At 49.6% G+C, this 23,362-nt stretch overlaps 1 protein-coding gene across 8 annotated transcripts, besides 3 other annotated features; it reads right to left on the reverse strand.

Annotated features, from left to right (window-relative positions):
* On the reverse strand, positions 20-22,965 carry ARHGAP30 (Rho GTPase activating protein 30). Of its 8 annotated transcripts, NM_181720.3 has the most exons (13): positions 22,602-22,965; positions 12,688-12,790; positions 9,462-9,606; positions 7,697-7,779; positions 7,440-7,547; positions 6,332-6,459; positions 5,700-5,871; positions 5,514-5,617; positions 5,360-5,437; positions 4,388-4,789; positions 2,498-2,763; positions 2,063-2,408; positions 20-1,429 (listed from the first exon to the last, which is right to left on the reverse strand). In NM_181720.3, exons 1-13 carry the CDS (start codon positions 22,696-22,698, stop codon positions 789-791), a joined length of 2,673 nt encoding a protein of 890 aa, NP_859071.2. In that variant the 5' UTR covers positions 22,699-22,965; the 3' UTR covers positions 20-788. The 8 variants fall into 8 exon arrangements, with proteins under 8 accessions (NP_859071.2, XP_005245127.1, NP_001020769.1 ...); XM_005245070.3 differs by having other exon boundaries at positions 20-2,408; positions 2,669-2,763; NM_001025598.2 differs by having other exon boundaries at positions 20-2,408.
* Positions 22,258-22,804: an enhancer, noted in NCBI's record as "H3K27ac-H3K4me1 hESC enhancer chr1:161038974-161039520 (GRCh37/hg19 assembly coordinates)". NCBI's record gives its function as "activates a minimal SCP1, AML or CMV promoter by ChIP-STARR-seq in naive H9 embryonic stem cells {active_cell/tissue: H9 hESC(naive)}" and the evidence as "EXISTENCE:reporter gene assay evidence [ECO:0000049][PMID:30033119]".
* Positions 22,258-22,850: a biological region, named in NCBI's record as "H3K27ac-H3K4me1 hESC enhancer GRCh37_chr1:161038974-161039520".
* Positions 22,701-22,850: a silencer, noted in NCBI's record as "silent region_1465". NCBI's record gives its function as "represses an Ori minimal core promoter by ATAC-STARR-seq in GM12878 lymphoblastoid cells {active_cell/tissue: GM12878}" and the evidence as "EXISTENCE:reporter gene assay evidence [ECO:0000049][PMID:35858748]".

A 23,362-nucleotide genomic window follows, 5' to 3' on the forward strand; every position in this document is an offset into this window, starting at 1 on the left:
AATGAGACTCCACACTATGTGTAAAAATACAGCTTTTATTCTGAGACATTGACCTTCACTAGAGTGGGACCTGTGGCCCCAGCCTGGCTGGAGAAGCAGTCCCAGGGCCTGAGTGACACCATTTCCCTTTCCTGAAATAGGAACAAGTTATTCCAAAGGAGAAAGGAGAGCCCAGAGAGATCTGTACAGGACCTCTCTTGCACATGGTGACTGGAGGCAGAGGGTGGGGAGCTGGAGAGGAGTCCAGTCCCTCCAACAAATATTGAGGGCTTCAAAGAGCTCTTCCTGGACGTTTCTCTTAATCTGGATTTAAAAGGGACAGGAGGTATCTTAGGGTCCAAGAACATAACAGGAATGGGCAACTCTAGAAGTGTTTGTGTGTGGAAGGCCCTAACCTGGCCCTGTCCTCCCTGTCTCTACCTTTGGCTTTCATGAAGAGAGATTCACAGCTCAGAGGAAGGGAGGAATTTCTCCAGTCTTCACTTTAACAAACTCTTTTAAGTTTTCTGCCTACCTTATGTTCCCTTTGGCCAATGACCCACTCCCTGGGAACAAGATCTTGTTGACTTTCTTGGGAATCTCCTAAGAGATAAGTGCTTTGTGTCGGAGACAAGTTCAGGTAAACCAACCAAGGCAGTGCCTCCCACAGTCAAAGAGAGAAGCTGGAGGGCCAAAGCCTATAGAGTTGGGCACTACAGCTGCTCATGCTGCAGAGGAGACAGCTAGTCAGGAACCCTGGAGATTCAAGACAACTTGCTGGTCCCCTTTGCCCAGGGCTGTGGTCCTAATCACAGTCCTTCACCTTTCCCAGGGTTAGCCTGTGTTTCAAATGCATATGACCTGCGCTGAGAGGACAACAGGGGGTCAGGAACCTGGGGTTCTCTGGGGGGCAGACTAAGACGACTCCGGGATCCAGACCCTTCTGCACCTTCAGATGGGAGCTCCAGGCAGCTAAGGGGCCGAGGAGAATGGGCAGAGATCATGCTACAAGGGGAGGTTCTGGGGATGAGGCAGTAATCCCCACCCTCAGTACAGGTCTGGGTTCGCCGAACTCCTTGAGCCTCAGTCCTTTGGCGGTCCCGGGCTAGGGCCACAGCAGCATCAAAGGAAAGACTACCCCCATTCCTCCAAGAGGATCGAGAAGCTCGGGACCCCCAAGCCCTTTCTCCAGGAGTCCCATCAAGCCGGCCAGGCCTCGGGCATGGATTTGCAGGTGCCACATGAATCTTGCTACACATTGCACTGGGCATCTTGGCAAACTGTGGCTTGGGGGGCACCACAGGCACAGAGCGGACCTGTTGGACCTGAACCAGAGTGGAAGCTAGACGCATGCCCACGCCACCCAGGCCAAGAGAACAGGGGCATAGACAGCCGTCTGGACTGGGCTGCCCCTCAGGCTCCATCTCCTCTGGCTGAGGTGGCTGTGGGGCTACCTCTTCCATCTCAGAAGAGTGAGGATTGCCCTCTTTGGCACAGTCAACCTCCAGGGACGCTACACCTGAACCTTCAGAGAGGGTGTCCTCTTCTAAATAGTACCCTCCAGCCCTCTGGTCTCCCTCAGCCTCTCCATCCCCACTCTCCCGTTCCTTGCTGACCTCCCCTGCTCCTCCTTCAGTTGCTGCTTCTGGGCTTCTGCTGTCTTCACCATCTCCTTGGTCTTTTCTTGCTTCATGGTACCCCTTCTCCCTCTGTCCTTTGTCCTCATCCTCTCTGACTCCCTCAGCCTCTTGTTTCTGTACAACTTCCCATTTCTCCTCAGCAACTTGATCTTCCTGGGCCCCTTGCTCTAGGTCCCTTCCAGCTTCTACCTGGGCTTCCTCTCTTTGTTCATCCTCTTCTCTCTCAATTTCTTTTTCCTTCTCATCTGTATACTCATCTCCTCCTGGTTCCTCCACACCTTTAGCCTCCATACTGTCAGCCTTCTTCTGACCTTTGGACTTCTCTTCCTTGGCCTCTGTCTCTTCCCTACTCCCTTCTCTCAATCTGACTTTTGTCTCTTGGCTTCCCCCAGCCTCCCCTCTATCCTCACTGGCCTTTCCAGCCTCCACCTTGGTCTCTGGACTTCCCTCTGCCTCTTCCCTGATGTCTAGCCTGCCTCCAGGCTCAGCCTGCTTGTCCTCCCCAACTTCCCAGCATGCCTGCTCTTCCCCACCCTGTCCCAGAGCCTGCCTTCCACATCCTGCTGCCTCTCCCTCCAGACTCCCTGAACCCTTCCAGATTGGGGGTTTAGGTCCCAGAAGGGGACTTAGGTCATCATAGGCACTCAGGAAAACTTCCTCCCCATTTTCCTCCTCAACTTCAGGCCTGGGGCCAGCGGAGTCCAGGGAACAGCAGCTGGGGGCCAAGACAAACTGTGCCTCATCCAGAGACAGGTCATCCAGGGGTGGCTCCACAGAGAACTCCTCCACCTGTAGGCACAGCATTGTGACTCAGGACCAGGAGGCCCTGTCCACCCTTGACTCCATGCCACCCCCAAACCCAGCACGGCTCTCCTTACCTGAGGCCCAACTCCCAGGAGCTCCTCCAGGTAGCCCATCCCAGGGTCGTCCTCCCCAGGGGAGAAGGCTGCTCCTGCTGCTTCTGCCTGGGCCACCTCCCCATCCTCTGCCCCCACCCACTCAGGTTCTGAGCTGCTTGAGTCCTCTAGGAAGGAGAAGGAGTCCTGCACCTCCTGGGACAGCGAGTCCTCCAGGGCAGGAGCCAAGTCGTCTGGGCCTGAGTCTGCCAGGGGACTTGAGGCTGGACTTGCTTCCAACTTTTCATCTGTTGGGGGAGAAGTAGTCCCAGGAATACAAAGGTCAAGCCCTGACCCTTTTCAGTGTGAGTCCTCCTAGCATTGATATAGCAGGGGCCCAGCACTCCCAGCATTGCTACTCTGCATGACTGATCCTTTCAGACCAATGTCCCTAGTTATTGGCTTGCTACCTTAATTGAGACCCTACCAGGTGCCAAGCACTGTGCTATGTATTTTACAATGCATTGGCATTTTTTCCTCCAAACTATTATGTGGGGTATTGTCCTCATTTTACATATGAGGAAACTGAGGCTCAGAGAGATTAAGCAATTTGTCTAAGGTCATGTAATGAATAAGCAGTACAGCCAAAATTTGAACCCAAGTCTACTTAACTCTATAGCCCATGTTCTTACCCACTATCCTATCCTGCCTCAGGACTTCTCATGAGTGACACTTCAGGAACTGGAGTCAGAGCAAGGATCAGATCCTAGCTCTGCTACTTCTACCTAAATCAATTGCAAATTGATTAACCTAAGTCTCAGTTTCCACTGCTGTAACATAAGGCTAACAATACCTATGTCATAAGATTATGAGAAAATGAAACAAACCAATCCTGCAATCACAGCACTTGGACCTTTTTTTTTTTTTTTTTTTTTGAGACGGAGTCTTGCTATGTCTCCCAGGCTGGAGTGCAGTGGCGCAATCTCAGCTCACTGCAACCTCCACCTCCTGGGTTGAACCAATTCTCCTGCCTCAGCCTTCTGAGTCTCTGGGATTACAGGCATGCCTCACCACGCACGCCTGGCTAATTTTTTTTTAATTTTTTTTAGTAGAGACGGGGTTTCACCATGTTGACCAGGCTGGTCTCGAACTCCTGACCTCCAGTGATCCACCCTCCTCAGCTTCCCAAAGTGTTGGGATTACAGGTGTGAGCCACCGTGCCTGGCCTAGCACTTGGTACTTAATAAACTGTTTTTTGTTTTTTTTTTTTTAATTTGAGACAGAGTTTTGCTCTTGTCGCCCAGGCTAGAGTGCAGTGGCGTGATCTCGGCTCGCTGCAGCCTCTGCCTCCTGGGTTCAAGCGATTCTCCTGCCTCAGCCTCCCAAGGAGCTGGGACCGCAGGCATCTGCCACCACACCTGGCCAGTTTTTTGCATTTTTAGTAGAGATGGGGTTTCGCCATGTTGGGCAGGCTGGTCTTGAACTCCTGACCTCAGGTGATCTGCCTGCCTAGGCATCCCAAAGTGCTGGGTTTACAGGCATGAGCCACGGCGCCTGGCTGGTACTTAATAAACTCTTGCTAAATGTTAGCTGATAGTATTGATGTTACTATTATTGTTACCCATCCATCTATTATATATTCCCACATTTGTCCTTAGTAATCCCTGCTGTATGTTTCTGACACAGGCCCCTATTCTTGGGTACATCAATGTTCTGAAGGCTGCTAGAGATCTCCTCTCCATAGATTTCACATAGCCTGATAATATTACTGGATTTCCCTAATCCTGAATCTAGGGAGGCAGCTAAAGGTAACCACCCCAAAGCCCAAGGGCTGAGGCCTCTGCCCTTCCTAGGGTGGATCTTCCAGCATCAGAGCTTCAGCCTAGAGTTCCAGTCCCCTTTCCTAGTCTTGGTCAATCAATGGGTCCTCACCTGGGGGGCCAGGGCCAAGGCCAGGGCCAGGGCCAGGGCCAGAGGCAGGGCTTGGCCGGTGCTGTAGAGCAGGGCACTCAAGGCCACGGGTGAGCCTGGCCAAGGAAACGTTAGAGATGATGTTCGGGGGCACACTGAGGATAGAGGTGATGTGTAGCGGGAGGTTGACATTGTAGGGGTCTGAGATGTGGACACCAGCACAGCGTTCTGCACGGCTGCTGCCCCCAGCCCGGATGGCTGACCGCCCAGCTCGTGGTGTGCCTGGTTCAGAGTTTGTGCCACCCAGTGCTTCTGCCTCAGGCTCCTGTTCACCCTCTGCTGCCTCTATAGAATCGTTCTCCAAGCTCTCAGGCAGCAATGGGCTTGGCCGGGGGCTGCTGGGCCCCACCAGCCCCTCTGGCTCTGTGGAGGAAAAAGAGGGCCAGGTAGGCAATAGCCTAAACTCCAAGGGGCCTAGACATCTCAAGAAGGCTCTGGAGAATGCTCTCTGCTTTCTCAGGCTTGAAAGCAACGATAGCCTGGAAGGCACCAGGCCCAGCTTCTTTTGATCACTACTGCAAACTTTTCACCCAGCCAGTAGGTCAAAGATCACCTCACCTTCACATACCTAGGGAACTCCCTTCCTTCCCTGCAGATACAGTCACTGGCCGTTGTCACCACCACCACCACCACCACCACCACCACCACCACCACCACCACCACCACCACCACCACCACCACCACCACCACCACCACCACCACCACCACATACCCATGCTGTCCCATCCCATACGAACACTCATCAACAAAGTCATAGATTAGACAATCAACTCACCGTAGCATTCAGCTACATTTACAATGTGGCTGGTATATAATAGGCACTCATTAAATATTTTTTGAAATTATTGAACACAGTTGGCTGCATGTACACACAAGCCCACGCTGGTCACATAGCACACACACATACACACAGAAATGCACCCCTATACTCACCATCACTGGCCCCAGCTGCAGCACTCAGTGAGTCCATGCTTTTGGCTGGCCGCAGTGTCCCCTTGTTGGATTTATCCTCTGTAAGACAGGGATGTGTGTAGAGCCAGGGCCTTGTGCACCCTCAGCAGAGCTCCCCCCATCTCCCCAGACTTACCCCTGTCCTCAGCCCCCCGTGGAAGTTTACGCTTAGTCTCATGGCCAGAGCGACCTAAATTGAAGATAGACCTCCACTTCCTGACCTTCAAAGACCCCTTCCTCCTACAAAGAATGGAGGGGCATAATTGGAGGTTGGAACATGAAGGTCGGTGCAGGGGAGGAAGGCCCAGGAAGGAGGCCTTACTTGTGCTCTGCAATCTCGATGATAGTATGGTAGGGCCGCATCTGTGGGGGTCCATCGCCAGCCTGCAGTATGCTAGGCAGGTGATAAGGCAGTGGCCTGGGCATAAGGTCCTCGGGGCTGCCTGATGCCCGGGTCCCTGGAAGCGATCGCCACCCACTCTCCACCTCACCACCTGGGAAAAGAAAAGGAATTGGCCAGCCAGGAACAGAGCCAAGAGAGGGACCTCAGGCACCCAATCCTTCATCACCCCTCGCCAACTACCAGGTTAGGGATATATTCAGAAGCCCCTGAAGACAGTGCCTCCATGTCCATCACCTCAAAAGAGTGCCCTCATGGACAAAGAGGGCTGGGAGATCCGAGAACGTTGGCCTGGTGGGCTGGGGGTGGATATGAGCCATCACTAGCCTTGGGAGCCAGGATGGTGACTCAGAGGTCAAGCCATGCCCTAGACTGACAGCAGAAGAAGTCTTCTCAAGTCCTGACTGCACAATTATCTCCCCAGGGTTCTCTCCATGTGGCCACTACCAACATCCCTGTATGAGACTCAGCTGAAGTAGGTGATCTTCAAGGCTCTCTGTAACTAACTTGACTCCCCAACAGTGGGATATGTGGAGGGCAGGAAGGACACTGACCAGAGAGGGCAGCACCCCCAAAGAGCTGGTCCACGTGTGTGAGGATGAACTCCACGACGATGGATTGTACCCGCACCTCCATGAAGGCCGCTGTCCCATTGAAGCCTGAGGCCTCTATGTCCTTAGACCTGTGGAGATGTGGAATTATTCTCCCCCTCAGCCCCACCAAACTTCCCAATCCAGATTCTCCCTGAAAATACCTTATTCTCTCTCTCTCTCTCTCTCTCTCTCTCTCTCTCTCTCTCTCTCGAATGACCTTAACCCCTTCTCTACCTCTTAAATTGTATGCATAATTCTTCCAATTCTCAAATGCCACTTGAAGACTTCTAGGAAGGAAGCCTTCTTGGACACCCGCCTCAGGATTAATCTCTATTTCCTTTGCACACCAGGGTGTCTAGTTTATAATGAATTTTATAATGAATTACAGGACTTCTCATAGTCTGTCTTGGACCACAGTGAGTGATATGCACAGTGAGCACAGCCAACAGACTGCAAGACGTTTTGCTCAACAAACATTTGGCGTGAGGCCGGACAGAGTGGCTCACACCTGTAATCCTAGCACTTGCACAGGGAGGAGGTGGGTGGATCACCTGAGGTCAGGAGTTCAAGATCAGCCTGACCAACATGGTGAAACCCCTTCTCTCTACTAAAAATACAAAAATTAGCCAGGCATGGTGGCTCATGCCTGTAATCCCAGCTACTCAGGAGGCTGAGGCACGAGAATCCCTTGAACCCAGGAAGCGGAGTTTGCAGTGAGTTGAGATCGCACCGCTGCTCTCCAGCCTGGGCAACAGAGCAAGACTCTGTCTCAAAAACAAACAAAAAATTGATATGGAACTGTTATGTTCCAGTCCCTGAGCTCAGTGACACACTGTAGGAAAACACAAAAGTCCTGCCTTTTAGGGACTTTATTTGATCACAGAGAAGGGACTAAAATAGATGGGGCCCATCCGACCCACCATGATCTTGAACCTTCTTTTCTCACTGGGCTTTGTGAGCCCTACACCCTTCTCCAGTGTACCCACACAGTCACACCTCATCCTGGGAGCAGCCTCCCAAAGGCCAGTGTCTCACAGGATCCCCATACACTGCTCACACAGGCACCTACCTCAGCAGGTTGGGAGCCCACACGATGGCCAGGTTGCGAGCATGCATGTTGGTCTGGGCACTGAATGAGGCCATGTGTACCAAGTGCCTCATGAGGAACTCCAGGGTCCTGCAGAAAGCGGGGGCAGGGATCACACAGGGAATGCCCAGGGCAGGCATTAGGGCTGGGACCTGGGAGCAGTAGGACCCAGTTAAGGCTCCAGGCAGCGAGTGAATGAGTTGTCTCAGGTTGCTGGGCAGATATGGAGTGTCACATACCTGTAGTTTGGGACAGGGAGTTCCCGAAGCACCTCTAGGATCTTGACCAAGCGCTCAGGTTCCAATTGCACTCCTACAGCCTCCTGATTGAGAAGAGTGCAAGAAGCAGGAATCAGTGACCCAGCAATGCCCCTGCTTACTCCCCAGAGCTTGTAACCAAGTTCTCAGGAACAATGTGCACTGGACTCTGTGCTACCCCATCCTACATCATCTGCGGTGCACTGACTTGGTAGAGAGAGCTCAGAATTGGGGTCCACGAAGATGGCAGCTGAATTTTGGTTATGCCACTTAATAGCTTTTGTGAACTTGGCAACTCGCTGCCTTACCATCCTCCATCCGTAGAGCTCTGGTACTGGGATACTTCAGTGGCGCCACCCTGTGGGTGCCCCAGGGACCACAGAGTTATTTCAGTGTGTCCAGGAAAGCTGTCCCCCACCCCAACCTAGCCGGTGTGGACTGAGCAGGGTGCTGCTAGGATTTAGGGTCTCTCAGTGCTCTTATGCTCAATAAAGTGCAACTTATTTTTAAAGTGTTACTCAATTCAAAATAGCATATTTTTCATGTGTTTTCGCATTTAAAAGATGTTCAGGCTGGGCACAGTGACTCACACCTGTAACACCAGCACTTTGGGAGCTGAGTTGGGAGGATTTCTTAAGCTTAGGAGCTTGAGACCAGCGTGGGCAACACAGCAAGACCTTGTCTCTACTAAAAATTTTAAAAATCAGCCAGGCATGGTGGTGCACGCCTGTAGTCCCATCTACTCAGGAGGCTGAGGTAGGAGGATCACTTGAGCCTGGGAGATTGAGGTTGCAGTGAGCTGTGATCACACCACTGCACTCCGGCCTGGGTGACCGAAGGAGACCCTGTCTCAAAAAACAAAAAACAGGCTGGGCGCAGGGGCTCATGCCTGTAATTCCAACACTTTGGGAGGCTGAGGTGGGTGAATCACTTGAGGTCAGGGATTCAAGACCAGCCTGGCCAACATGGTGAAACCCTGTCTCTACCAAAAATACAAAAAATTAGCCAGGCATTGTGGCGGGCTCTCCAGCTACTCGGGAGGCTGAGGCAGGAGAATCACTTGAACCTGGGAGGCGGAGGTTGCAGTGAGCCAAGATTGCACCACTATACTCCAGCCTGGGCAACAGAGTGAGACTCCATCTTAAAATTAAAATAAAATAAAATAATAAAATAAAATAAAATAAAATAAAATAAAATAAAATAAATAAAATAAAATAAATAAAATAAAATAAAATAAAATAAAAATAAATAAAATAAAATAAAATAAAATAAAATAAAATAAAATAAAATAAAATAAATATAAAATAAAATAAAATACCAAAGATGTTCAACGCATAATTAGAGTGAATGGAGAGGCATCCTTGAAAAAATTTTACTTCTAAAAAGTATTCTGATTCTCTTAAGTGTAGGGAAGCTCTGGTCTACATGCTTTCCAAGGCCCTTCCAGCTACAACAATCTGACCTCTACCTCCCCAAGTCTCACCACTGTGCTGTGTGCAATCTTCAGGCCTTAGGGAGAAAGAAGGACATAGCAGAGAGAGAGTGAAGAGAAAAGGAATGGGGGAGGACAAAGGTAGTAGGGGCTAGGAGATTTGGGGAGGAGGGGTCTTTTCCCCGGTAAGTTTTTCTGTGGTCTCTGTCATTCAGGATCGCTAGGACTCTGGCTAGTATGTGGCACACTTGGGATGTCAAAACCAGGCTGTCCACCCCTGAGCCCTGTCTTCCACCCCTCGGCCTCTCAACTCACAGCAAACTTGTCATAGAGCCGGTAAGTGAGCAGGGGATCCGGCAGTTCTCTGAAATAGGCCTTGCACAGGGAGGAGACGCAGTGAATGTCTTGGAGGTAAACATCCCGACGCAGGTCTGGCTTCCGCTCTGACTCAAATTCCTGCCTGGGGAGGCGCGGTGTGGTCAGGAGTGGTAGGGGTTGGGGTGATGTGGGGAGAGGTGGGTCCCTATAGAGATGGGTCCCGGCATGGTCGTGGGTCAACATGTGTTGGACTTGGAAGGAGAATGTTGGGACACGTACACATGTAAGCCAGTAAGTATAAGATATTGCATATGTTGACATGTAGATGTGAATGTGAGGATGGGTACATGTACAGGTAAGTGGATCTATGCGTGAACAGGGATATGTTAGGGATGTAGCTGTAGATATGTGTAGCAGTACAAGGGTCTGTAAGAGTCAGTAGGGTATGGTCCTAAATCTGTGCCACTGGGTACATGTAAAAATGGATGGGTATAACTCTTAGAAAGAAACGTTAAGTGTAAATCTTTATGTCCTAGGATTAGGCAACAGTTTCTTAGATATGATACTAAAAGCACAAGCAAACAAAGAAATGGATACATTGAACATCAAAATTAAAAACATTTGTAGCCAAAAGTCACCATTAAAAAAGTGAAGACAACCCACAAAATGGGAGTAATATTTGCAAACAATATATCTGATTGAGGGTCTAGCATTCCAAACATATAAAGAACTCTTGTAATTCAATGACTAGAAAGACAAATAAGCTAATTTTTTTTTTTTTTGAGACAGAGTCTCACTCTGTCGCCCAGACTGGCATGCAGTGGCACGATCTCTGCTCACTGCAGCCTCCGCCTCCCAGGTTCGAGTGATTCTCCTGCCTCAGCCTCCTGAGTAGCTGGACTACAGGCACCCACCACCATGCCCGGCTAAACAAATAAGCCAAATTTTTAAACAGGCAAAGTCAGCACCATAGGAAAGGGGGAAAAAATGGGCAAAGGGTTTGAATAAACATGGTATTGCTCCAAAGAAGATATGCAAGTAGACAATAAGCACAGGAAAAGATGTTCAACATCATTACCTATTACAGAAATGCAAATATAGGCCAGGGGAGGCGGCTCATGCCTGTAATCCCCACTACTCAGAAGGCTGAGGTAGGAGGATCGCTTGAGCCTAGGAGGTAGAGGCTGCAGTGAGCCATGACCATGCCACTGCACTCTAGCTTGGGTGACAGAGTGAGACCCAGTCTCAAAAAAAGAACAGAAAAAGAACAAAAGTAACTCAAATATAAATCACTTTGAAATATCAGTTTACATTTACAGGGATGGCTATAATAAAAAAGGTAGGCCGGGCGCAGTGGCTCATGCCTGTAATCCCAACACGTTGGGAGGCTGAGCCAGGTGGATCACCTGAGGTCTGGAGTTCGAGACCAGCCTGACCAACATGGTGAAACCCTGTCTCCACTAAAAATACAAAACTGTGGGCTGAGCATGGTGGCTCACACCTGTAATCCCAGCACTTCTGGAGGCCAAGGCAGGCAGATCACCTGAGGTCGAGAGTTCAAGACCAGCCTGACCAACATGGAGGAACCCCGTCTCTACTAAAAATACAAAATTAGCCAGGCATGGTGGCGCTCGCCTGTAATCCCAGCTATTCAGGAGGCTGAGGCAGGAGAATCGCTTGAACCCGCAAGGTGGAGGTTGTGGTGAGCCAAGATCGCGACACTGCACTCCAGCCTGGGCAACAAGAGTGAAACTCCATCTCAAAAAAAAAAATTAACCGGGAGTGGTGACATGTGCCTGTAATCCCAGCTACTCGGGAGGCTGAGGCAGGAGAATTGCTTGAACCTAGGAGTCAGAGGCTGCAGTGAGCTCAGATCACGCCACTGCACTACAGCCTGGGCAGCAGAGCAAAACTCCATCCCAAAAAATAAATAAATAAATAAATAAATACACAGGCCAGGGCATGGTGGCTCATGCCTGTAATCCCAACACTTTGAGAGGCTAAGGCAGGCAGATCACTTGAGGTCAGGAGTTCAAGAGCAGCCTGGCTAACATAGTGAAACCCCATCTCTACTAAAGATACAAAAATTAGCTGGGTGTGGTGGTGCATGCCTGTAGTCCCAGCTACTCGGGAGGCTGAGGCAGGAGAATCACTTGAACCCAGGAGGCAGAGGTTGCAATGAGCCAAGATCACGACACTGCACTCCACCCTGGGCAACAGAGGGAGACTCTGTCTCAAAAAAAAAAAAAAATTGAAAAAAAAAATATTAAGACCAGCCTGGCCGACATAGTGAAACCCCATTTCTACTAAAAATACAAAAATTAGCCAGGCGTGGTGGTGTGCATCTGTAGTCCCAGCTACTCAGGAGGCCGAGGCAGGAGAATCACTTGAACCCAGGAGGCAGAGGTTGCAATGAGCCAAGATTGCGCCACTGCACTCCAGCCTGGGCAACAGAGTGAGACTCTATCTCAAAAAAAAAAAAAAGAAAGAAATGTCCTGGAATTAGATAGTGATGATTATTGTACTTCATCACTATCTAAAGTAAATATACCATGTGAATAGTATGTGAATACACTAAAAACAACGGAGTTATACATTTTTAAATGGTGAATTTTTTGATATGTAAATTATATCTAAGTTTTTTGTTTTTTGTTTTGAAATGGAGTCTCACTCTGTCACCCAGGCTGGAGTGCAGTGGCGCAATCTTGGCTCACTGCAACCTCTGCCTCCTGGGTTGGAGCAATTCTCCTGCCTCAGCCTCCCAAGGAGCTGGGATTACAGGTGTGTGCCACCACACCCAGCTAATTTTTGTATTTTTAGTAGAGACGGGGTTTCACCACGTTGGCCAGGCTGGTCTTGAACTCCTGACCTCAGGTGATCCACCCACTTCAGCCTCCCAGAGTGCTGAGATTACAAGCGTGAGCCACCGCGCCTGGCTCAAGTTTTTTTTTTTTTTTTTTTTTAAGCCGGGTGTGTGTGTGGGAATGGTGTATGTGAGAGTGGAGTTTGTGTGTGTGTGTGTGCTAAGTTGGGGGAGGGACCATGGTCTCCACCTTCCCTGAGGAGTTGTTAGAGCACCTCCCTAGGACCTTACCTAGTATCTGTGTTTCCTTCTCCCCACTGCCTCTCACTCCCCATCTCTGCTGTCCTCAGCAACTCTTACTGTGACCTTCTGGCTCCCTGGCCTCCTGGTCACAGAGCCCTCCCACTCTGTTTGACTCACCGAAGCTTCTGGATGTTGGAGGAGACCCCTGAGAGGCGGTAGATCCCATCCACCACTCCATACTCCTCCACAAATTCTGCACAGCTCTTTAGCACCTGGGGCACTGGGGACACAGACGGGGCAGAGACATAGAAATCAGAGGATCTGGGTGGTCAAAGACTGCACTGGGTCTGAGAAATGGAATTTGGGGAGACCACGACGAGCAAAGCTCATGGAATAAAAACTTGTCAGAACAATTCTTACAGATCATCAGCTTCAACCTGCCAACCCCTCTACAGTATCTCTGCTTAGTGGGTCCTAAAGGTCCTGGGAGCTCACTGCCTCTCCAAACTACCCAATCAGCTCTTTGTTAGAAAGTTCTGCCTTTGTTAAAGTGAAATTTGTCAGGCTGGGTGCAGTGGCTCACCCCTGTAAGCCAGCACCTTGAGAGGCCAAGGCGGGTGAGTTGCTTGAGCCCAGGAGTTCAAGATCAGACTGAGTAACATGCTGAAACTCTGTCTCTACAAAAAATACAAACACAAATGGGGTGTGGTGGTACATGCCTGTAGTTTCAGCTACTCAGGAGGCTGATATGGGAGGATCACCTGAGCCCAGGAGGCAAGGGCTGCAGGAAGCCGCACTCTGGCCTGCTGGGTAACAGAGTGAGACCCTGTTTCAAAAAAAAAAAAAGAAAGAGAAAGAAAGAAATTTATCTCTCTTGGGCCAGGTGCGGTGTCTCATGCCTGTAATCCCAACACTTTGGGAGGCTGAGGTGGGTGAATTGCCTGAGGTCAGGAGTTTGAGACCAGCCTGACCAACATGGTGAAACCCCATCTCTACTAAAAACTACAAAAACTACCTGGGCATGGTGGCACATGCCTGTAATCCCAGCTACTTGGGAGGCTGAGGCAAGAGAATCACTTGAACCAGGAGGTGGAGGTTTCAGTGAGCTGAGATCACGCCACTGCACTCTAATCTGGGTAACAAGAGTGAAACTCCATCTCAAAAAAAAAAAAAAAAAGGAAAGGAAAGAAACTTGTCTGTAATTACTAGTTATTTTTAAAGGGGCAACAATCTGGTTGGTAGGGGAGGCAGAGTCAAGGACTTTTTTTTTTTTTTTTTTTTTTGAGACGGAGTCTCACTCTGTTGCCCAGGCTGGAGTGCAGTGGCGCGATCTTTCCTTACTGCAACCTCCGCCTCCCGGGTTCAAGCGAGTCTCCTGCCTCAGCCTCTCAAGTAGCTAGAATTACAGACGCCCGCCGCTACGTCTCCAGCTAACTTTTTTGTATTTTTAGTAGAGGCAGGGTTTCACCATGTTGGCCAGGCTGGTCTTGAACTCCTGACCTCATATTTCGCCCGCCTCGGCCTCCCAAAGTGCTGGGATTACAGGCGTGAGCCACCGAGCCTGGCCAAGGACTTATCTTAAAAGTGCATTTACTTAACACTCTACATAAGGTGAAGGAACATTAGTTGTCCCAACCCAAATGGAACAGGACTGTTGGGGATTATTTGAAGCACACCCTCTGGTAAGAAAGCTCATGGCTATTAGTTCTTTGTTGTTGTTGGGTTCTGTTTGTTTGTTTGTTTTTTTTAGATGGAGTCTCACTCTGTTTCCCAGACTGGAGTGCAGTGGCACAGTCTTGGCTCACTGCAACCTCCACCTCCCAGGTTCAAGCAATTTTCCTGCCTCAGCCTCCCAAGTAGCTGGAATTACAGACACGCGCCACCACGCCCAGCTAATTTTTGTATTTTTAGTAGAGACCGGGTTTCACCATGTTGGCCAGGCTGGTCTCGTACTCCTGACCTCAGGTGAGCCTCCCAAAGTGCTGGGATTACAGGCGTGAGCCACCGCGCCTGACCTGCTTTATATATGTTCTATCATTTAATCTTAAAAATTAGATATTCTGAATGACAGACCTTTGGCAATCAAATACAAGAATATCTGAAAAAAAAAACTTTAAAAATTAGATATTCTAGTACCCATTTTACAGATAAGAAAACTGAGGGTCAAAGAAGTACTGAGTGCCCAGCAGCACCCAGCTAGAGCCATGACTCAAATCAAGGGTGCAAAACCTGTACTATCTTTCCCAACCCTAGGCCCCCTCCTGTTACTAGACTGTAAGCTTTTTAAGGACAAAATCTAAGTGTGATCCATCTTGGTATTCCTTATATTATCTGACATGGTGTCTCATACATGATAGATCCTCAAAAATGGCCAGGCGTGGTGGCTCACGCCTGTAATCCCAGCACTTTGGGAGGCCAAAGTGGGTGGATCATCTGAGGTCAGGAGTTCGAGACCAGCCTGGCCAACATGCTGAAACCCCGTCTCTACTAAAAATACAAAAATTAGCCGGGCGTGGCAGCGCACGCCTATAATTCCAGCTACTTGGGAGGCTGAGGCAGGAGAATTGCTTGAACCCGGGAGGTGGAGGTTGCAATGAGCCAAGACTGTGCCACTGTACTCCAGCTTTAATGACAGAGCAAGACTCGGTCTTTAAAAACAACAACAACAAAAAAAAACCATGTATTGAAACCCATCTCCACCAGGCCACGTAGTTATCTTTCCAAAGCACTTCCCTACTTTAGATCCTTTGCCTCGCATACACCCCACTCTGCCCCACTTTAATCCCCATTGCTTACCTTACAAATACGAAATAAAATATAAACTCCTCAACCTGGTATATAAGACCCTTCACAAATCAGGTCCAGACACCATTTCAGCCACAGCTCCAGACAATTCCTTGACAAATCCTATGAGCCTTGGTAGCATCACTCATATTATTCCCGTGCCTGGAATTACCCTCCCTCTGACTCTGCCTGGTGAACTTCTATGCATTCCTTAAGACACATCTTAGGCCAGGTGCGGTGGCTCACACCTGTAATCCCACCACTTTGGTAGGCCGAGGTGGGCAGATCACTTGAGGTTTAGAGTTTGAGACCAGCCTGGCCAACATAGCAAAACCCCGTCTCTACTAAAAATATAAAAATTAGCCTGATGTGGTGGCATGTGTCTGTAGTCCCAGCTACTTGGGTGGCTGAGGCAGAAGAATTGCTTGAATCTGGGAGGTAGTTGTTGCAGTGAGCTGAGATTGCACCACTGCACTCCAGCCTGGGGGACAGAGTGAGATTCCGTGTCAAAAAAAAAAGAAAAAAAGCACATCTTAAACATAACCTCCAATTCCAAACCTTTTTCTTATATCTATATTATAATTCGCCACAGTCTTTGTTCTTTTTTTTTTGAGACGGAGTTTCGCTCTTGTTGCCCAGGCTGGAGTGCAGTGGCACAATCTCGGCTCACCACAACCTCCGCCTCCCAGGTTCAAGCGATTCTCCTGCCTCAGCCTCCCTAGTAGCTGGGATTACAGGCATGTGCCACCGTGCCCAGCTAATTTTGTATTTTTAGTAGAGTCGGTGTTTCCCCATGTTGGTCAGGCTGTCTCGAACTCCCGACCTCAGGTGATCTGCCCACCTCAGCCTCTCAAAGTGCTGGGATTACAGGCGTGAGCCACTGCGCCCAGCCATTCATGTTTGTATTATAGCACTTCTTGCAGTTTGTTATGATTAGTTTATTTTGTATTGATACCTCCTGACATATAATAACATCCTCCCAGCATCTGGCACAATGTTGAAACAGAGCAGATGCTCAATGAATGTTTGTGAAATTGTTGTGGGAAGTCAGGGACCCCAAATGGAGGGACCGGCTGAAGCCATGGCAGAAGAACGTGGATTGTGAAGATTTTATGGACATTTATTAGTTCCCCAAATTAATACTTTTGTAATTTCTTATGCCTGTCTTTACTGCAATCTCTAAACATAAATTGTAAAGATTTCATGGACACTTATCACTTCCCCAATCAATACCCTTGTGATTTCCTATGCCTGTCTTTACTTTAGTCTCTTAATCCTGTCAGCCAAGAAGGATGTATATCGTCTCAGGACCCCGTAATAATTGCGTTAACTACACAAATTGTACAGCATGTGTTTTTGAGCAATATGAAATGTGGGCACCCTGAAAAAAGAACAGGATAACATCAATTGTTCAGGGAATAAGAGAGATAACCTTAAACTCTGACTGCCGGTGAACCGGGCAGAACAGAGCCATATTTCTCTTCTTTCAAAAGCAAATGGGAGAAATATCGCTGAATTCTTTTTCTCAGCATGGGATATCCCTGAGAAAGAGAATGCGCACCTAGGGGTAGGTCTCTGAACGCCCCCCCCACCGGGGCGTACCTGTCTCTTATGGTCCAGATTGCAGAGGTGAAATAAACTCCAGTCTCCCATAGCACTCCCAGGCTTATTAGGAAGAGGAAACTCTCGCCTAATAAATTTTGGTCAGACCGGTTGATCTCAAAACCTGTCTCCTGATAAGATGTTATCAATGACAGTGGTGCCCAAAACTTCATTAGCAATTTTAATTTCGCTTTGGTCCTTTGGTCCTGTGATCTCACCCTGCCTCCACTTGCCTTGTGATATTCTGTTACCCTGTTAAGTACTTGATGTCTGTCACCCATACCTATTTGTATACTCCCTCCCCTTTTGAAACTCTCTAATAAAAACTTGCTGGTTTTTGTGGCTTGTGGGGCATCACGGATCCTACCAATGTGTGATGTCTCCCCTGGATGCCCAGGTTTAACATTTCTCTCTTTTGTACTCTGTCCTTTTATTTCTCAAGCCAGCCGACGCTTAGGAAAATAGGAAAGAACCTACATGATTATCGGGGCAGTTCCCCCGGTATGAAATGACTCAGTGAATTAATCAATTATGAGAATCAATAACATCCCTTGGAGATTTAACAGAGAATATTGCCAGTGACAGAATACTGGGTTCTATTAACTAGGACTCATCAGAGCAATTCGTCTCACATATCAGTGTCAGAAAAAGCTGTGTTTGGCATGGCAGCTCATGCCTGTAATCCCAACAGTTTGGGAGGTCAAGGCAGGTAGATCACTTGAGATCAGGAGTTCAAGAACAGCCTGGGTAGCATAGCAAGACCTCATCTCTACAAAAAACAAAAAATTAGCAGGGCATGGTGGCTCACACCTGTAGTCCCAGCTACTCAGGAGGCTAAAGCAGGAGATTGCTTGAGCCCAGGAGTTTGAGGCTGCAGTGAGTGATGATGGCACCATTGCACACCAGCCTCGGCAACAGAGTAAGACAAGAAAGAAAGAGAAAGAAAGAAAGAAAGAAAAAGAAAGAAAGAAAGAAAGAAAGAAAGAAAGAAAGAAAGAAAGAAAGAAAGAGAAAGAAAGAAAGAAAGGAAAGGAAGGAGAGGAAGGAGAGGAAGGAGAGAAAAGAGAGAGGAAGGAAGGGAGGGAGGGAAGGAAGAGAAAAGGAAAGGAAGGGAAGGGAAGGGAAGAAGGGAAGGGAAGGGGGAAAAAGCTGTGGTTCTCCTAAACCATCTAACTTTTTTTCCTTATGGGCCCATGAGTCTTGCACTTGATTATGTTTATTTATTTATTTATTTTGAGTTGGGGTGCATTCAAGCAGTTCTGGTGCCTCAGCCTCCTGAGTAGCCAGGACTACAGGTGCACGCCACCATGCCCTGCTAATTTTTATGTTATTTAGTAGGGATGGGGTCTCACCATGTTGGCCAGGCTGGCCTCGAACTCCTGACCACAAGTGATCTGCCTGCCTCGGCCTCCTAAAGTGCTGGGATTACAGGCGTGAGCCACTGGGCCTGGCCTATGTTTACCTCTTTAACCACTAGGAAGCTCAGAGCCCACCTCTAAGAACCATACAGAACAATGTAATATGCATTTCTGGGTGCTGATCTTTCTCTTCCTCTTGTTTTTCCTTCAACCCAATTCCTTCAATCATTTATTCTAATTTTTTGTAAAGTTTTAGGTTTTGAAAGTCATTCCAAGCTCTTTGTTGAATAAAGTATGACAGAAATATGGAATGAAGAAAATAATCAATAAATTCATCAATCCCAATCTTTCCTTTTTCTTTTTTCTTTTTCTTTTTTCTTTTTTCTTTTCTTTTTTTTTCTGAGACGGAGTTTCACTCTTGTTGCCCAGGCTGGAGAGTGCAATGGCGCGATCTCAGTTCACTGCAACCTCCGCCTCCCAGATTCAAGAGATTCTCCTGCCTCAGCCTCCCAAGTAGCTAGGATTACAGGCACCCACCACTCTGCCCGGCTAATTTTTATATTTCTAGTAGAGACAGAGTTTCTCCATGTTGGTCAGGCTGGTCTCAAACTCCCGACCTCAGGTGATCCACCCACCTTGGCTTCCCAAAGTGTTGGGATTACAGGCGTGAGCCACTGCACCCGGCCCCTTATTTATTTATTTATTTATTTATTTATTTATTTATTTATTTATTTGAGACAGAGTCTCACTTTGTTGCCCAGGCTGGAGTGCAGTGGTGCAGTCTTGGCTCACTGAAGCCTCAGCCTCCCGAGTAGCTGGGACTACAGGCGCACACCACCATGTCCAGCTAATTTTTGTATTTTTAGTAGAGACGGAATCTCACCATGTTGGCCAGGCTGGCCTCAAACTCCTGACCTCAAGTGATCCACCCGCCTTGGCCTCCCAAAGTGCTGGGATTACAGGCGTGAGCCACCATGCTCAGCCAACCAAAATCTTTCAACTCTCCTCATACGACCTGGCTTTCAGACCCTTCATCCTCCTGCACACCACAGCCAGGAGTTGGGTGGGATTAGGGAAGCATCTAGTGTGCAAAATTTAAGGAAGCACTTATTCTCAGGGCCATGGAGATGCCAACCATGCCCATGCACGGTCTTGAGTACCTCCTTGAGAATGAGGCATCTAGGGGCCTGGTGTGGTGGCTCACACCTGTAATCCCAGCACTTTGGGAGGCCGAGGCGAGTGGATCACCTGAGCTCAGGAGTTCAAGACTAGCCTGGCCAACATGGCAAAACCCCGTCTCCACTAAAAAGTACAAAAATTAGCCAGGCGTGGTGGTGCCTGTAGTCCCAGCTACTCGAGAGGCTGAGGCAGGGAGAATTGCTTGAACCCTGGAGGTCGAGGTTGCAGTAAGCCAAGATGGTTGTGCTGCACTCCAGCCTGGGTGACAGAGCAAGACTGCATCTCAAAAAAAAAAAAAAAAAAAAAAAAAAAAGGCACCTAGGGCAATTGTACGACACTGAAAGTGAGTGCTTCCTTAAATTTTGCACCCTAGTCATGTCTCTTGCCTCGTCTTAGTCTCAGTCCTACAGTTCACCATCCATCGTTTCAGTACCTACTCCCATTTTCTAGGATCCCACTGACCTCAGGTTCCCAGCATTGAATGCAGAGATAGGGCAGGCCCCTCCTTGTCTGAGCTGCTGCTGTACTCTCGGGTGCCTAATGCTAAGCCAACTCTTTTGACTCATAAATAGTCTGCTGTCACCTAAACCACCAGGTTTTTGTCACATGAGCAGCATACAAACCAGGTCTTCTCTATCCTATCCTTCTCTGCTGATTTTGAACCTCCAGAGTCCTTTAAAGGGGACACTCAAAAGCCTAAGGAGTCACAGCCATAGAAGAACTGGGTCAAGGAGATGGGGGAAGAGACAACAGGGTCACAGAGATGGGGGAGTTAGGGAGATAGAGATCAGAGAGATGAGATCAGAGATAAAACCTACAGACAGGATTGGAGCGATGAAGTCAAAGGGATGGAGACATCGAGGAAATAAGAGTAGGGTCAGGGAGGAAGGCCAAAAGCTTAGGGACCTGAGAATTAGAAACCTGAACAATCGGCCAGGTGCGGTGGCTCACGCCTGTAATCCCAGCACTTTGGGAGGCCGAGGCGGGTGGATCATGAGGTCAGTGTTCGAGACCAGCCTGGCCAACATGGTGAAACCCTGTCTCTACTAAAAATACAAAAATTAGCTGGGTGTGGTGGTGCCTGCCTGTAATCCCAGCTACTCTGGAGGCTGAGGCAGGAGAACTGCTTGAACCTGGGAGGCAGAGGTTGCAGTGAGCCGAGATCACCCCACTACACTCCAGCCTGGGACAGAGCAAGACTCCATCTCAAAAAAGAAAGAAAGAAAGAAAGAAAGAAACCTGAACAATCTATCAAAGATTAGGAAAAGAAAGAATTCAGTATATACAGGGCTTAAGGAAGGAAGAGACCCATGTGGGGGCAAAGAGCTGGAGAGAGGGCTGAGATGGAGCAAGGCTGTGGGGATGGGGGAGACCAACGTGATCAGGGAGGATAAATTAAGCGAAAACAAAGATCTCTCTGCTCTCATTTTTTTGTGGATGTTGGATTAAAGAGAGGAACCATCACCAGCCTCTCTCTGTCCTTCCTTCCACTTTCCACCTCTCTGTACCAGGAAGACCTGAGGGATAGGGAAGGAGCCACCACTGCTACTCTGGTGCCCAAGATCAACCCACCCTTGGGTTCTGTGAGGTTCTGGTCTCCTGCTCTCGGATTCACCTAGGATCAGGATTCAGCAATCAGATCTGTCTGTCCCCTCTAGAGAGTGTGCCCCTTCCCTGCTAGGAATCCAGGAAGAGGCCGGGAGGGTTATAGGAGCAGGGTCTGGGCTGGCTGTGGGTTCAGTGTTTCAAGATAAAATTGGTTGGTGGACCACAAAAAAGGGCAGTACCAGGAAAGGCTGAACTGAGGGTTTGCATTGAGCTGGGAGGAGCACATCATCCCCAATTAAATCTCATAATCCTTGGCTAAGAATCATAGCTCTTGAGAGGAGTCCCTTAGAAAGGAGTAAGCCCTGCACTGATGGCTGTGCCACCTCCACTCTGCCCAGTGAGAAGAGGAAGGCTCAAATAAGCTCGCTTCAGCTGTTTAACACTCTTCCTTGGGGTCTGGGCTTTCCCTTAACCAAGGGCAATGGGGATAGGGGTCCTCTCACTGGAGGAGAAAAGGGGAAGGAGGTGTCTGGGGACGCAGGGGCGGGGCTAAGAGCAGGAAATGATCTGGGAACCACCATCACCCTCCCTCCGCTGCAAGCACCACAGCCCAGAGCAGAGGAGGGGACAAAGAGGAAATGACAGATTGGGGTGGGGTGGAATGGGGTGGAGTGGGGAAAGAATTATGCCTTTCTCTAGGAGGAGCTTGAAGTGCCAAAAACAAGCTGGGCTGGGCAGCCAGGGTGCCTGGGTTCAATTTCAAATTGAATCAAGAAATGATTTTGAGTGGCTGCTCCATGCCAGGCCCCGTTGTGAACCTGATATTGTCCCTGGTCCTTCTGGCTTCAAAGCCCACTCTAAGGTAACCCAGGGAGGGAGCTGGGTGAGCTCCACAGACAGCTCCACACCCACCCTCCTTTGCACCCTCCACCTCCAGCTTCAAGCCAGGCCTCACACCCTCTCTTTCATTCTTCCCCATTTCAGCAGCTTCTCCCCTTGCCCCCCACTTTGAACCTGTTTCTCTTTTGCACAGGGACAACAAGAGAATCACAAAGACTAGGGGCAGAGGTTGTTTCCAGCCCGACATCATCCCCTGCGGCCCAGCAAGGCTGCAGTGGGAACAGAGCCCATGACCTTGTCCTTGGGTGTTCTCCAGCCAGGAAACCACCCGCCTCAAGGGCCATCTTGAGACCCTTCTGGGGCCATTTCCCTGTCTCCTTTCATTCAGACCTAAGGATAATCATTTCCCCTTCAGCCACTCCTCTCCTGACCCTGTCGCCTCACCCTCCCTCTCCTGTTCCCAGTCACCTGCCCGCTGTTTCATCCACTCCTCCTCGGTTTCCAGTCTCTCCATCCTCCCCCTCACTGCTACCTGGGTACTCACATTCTCATCCCCTCAGCCACCCCATCCCCAGAAAGTTACACAAGGGAGCCGCCCTGCCTTCTTCACTGAGCCACATTTCCTGTCTTGCCCACTTACAGTTCTCTTGAATGGTGACCCCAGGCCACTGCCCCTTCCCCAGGAGCACCGGAAACTGCTTCTGCCCTTCAGGCTGGATCGGGCTGCAGATGCCCAGTGCCTCCCCACCCACCCTGCAGAAGCTGAGCCGGCCTCCTTACCCTCCTGGCCTGAGTGCTGCAGGTGCTCCTGCAAGTCGCACCCAAAAACCCGCTCCTTTGCGCTGCCCTTCTTCTTTCCTTTCTGCCGAGACTTCATGGCCAGAGCCCCAGGGCACTGGCCCGGTCACCTCTATCCCCCAAGACCTGTGCCCTACCAGTCCCCCATGGGATCCCAGCCAGCTGCTGGGCTTGGCCCGGCCCCAGGGGGGCAGGGCTCCCAATTGGGGGTGGAGGGTGGCCTGGGCAACGGGCAGCAGCTCCTGCCCCTGGGGCCCCGGCCACACGGAAGTGGCTGTTGAAGAGGAAGCTACCAGGACCCTGGCAAGAAATTGTGTCCTGTGTCTCGTGGCCCAGCCTGGCACTCGCCCTCCTCGCCCCGCTCAGCTTTAGGGGGCAGGAAGCAGTGCAGCTCCTTAACCCACTTCCTGTTAGAGCATCTTTGCAACCACAGGGCCTAGGGTGGGGGAGGTAGCTGACATTCACATCCTCACCCTTTGCTTGGACTTCATTCATTGGTCAGGGGAGGTGATGTCAGAGCCCTGGGGTGGGGTGATGGCGTCTGTGGTGTGAGCAGGTGACCAACTCCCTTAGAGACCAGAATTCTTGGGTCCAAGGTAGAGACCTGGGGCTTGCCTGGGAGCAAGTTGACACAGGGCTGTAAAAAGCACACTCACAAGGGAGGATGCCTGGGTTCTGCCTCTGATGGATCTAGCACCTCAGTCAAATCGCATTACTTCACTGAGCCTCAGTTTCCAAACCTA

The sequence above is a fragment of the Homo sapiens genome, chromosome 1, assembly GCF_000001405.40.
Source record: "Homo sapiens chromosome 1, GRCh38.p14 Primary Assembly".
Taxonomy (NCBI): domain Eukaryota; kingdom Metazoa; phylum Chordata; class Mammalia; order Primates; family Hominidae; genus Homo; species Homo sapiens.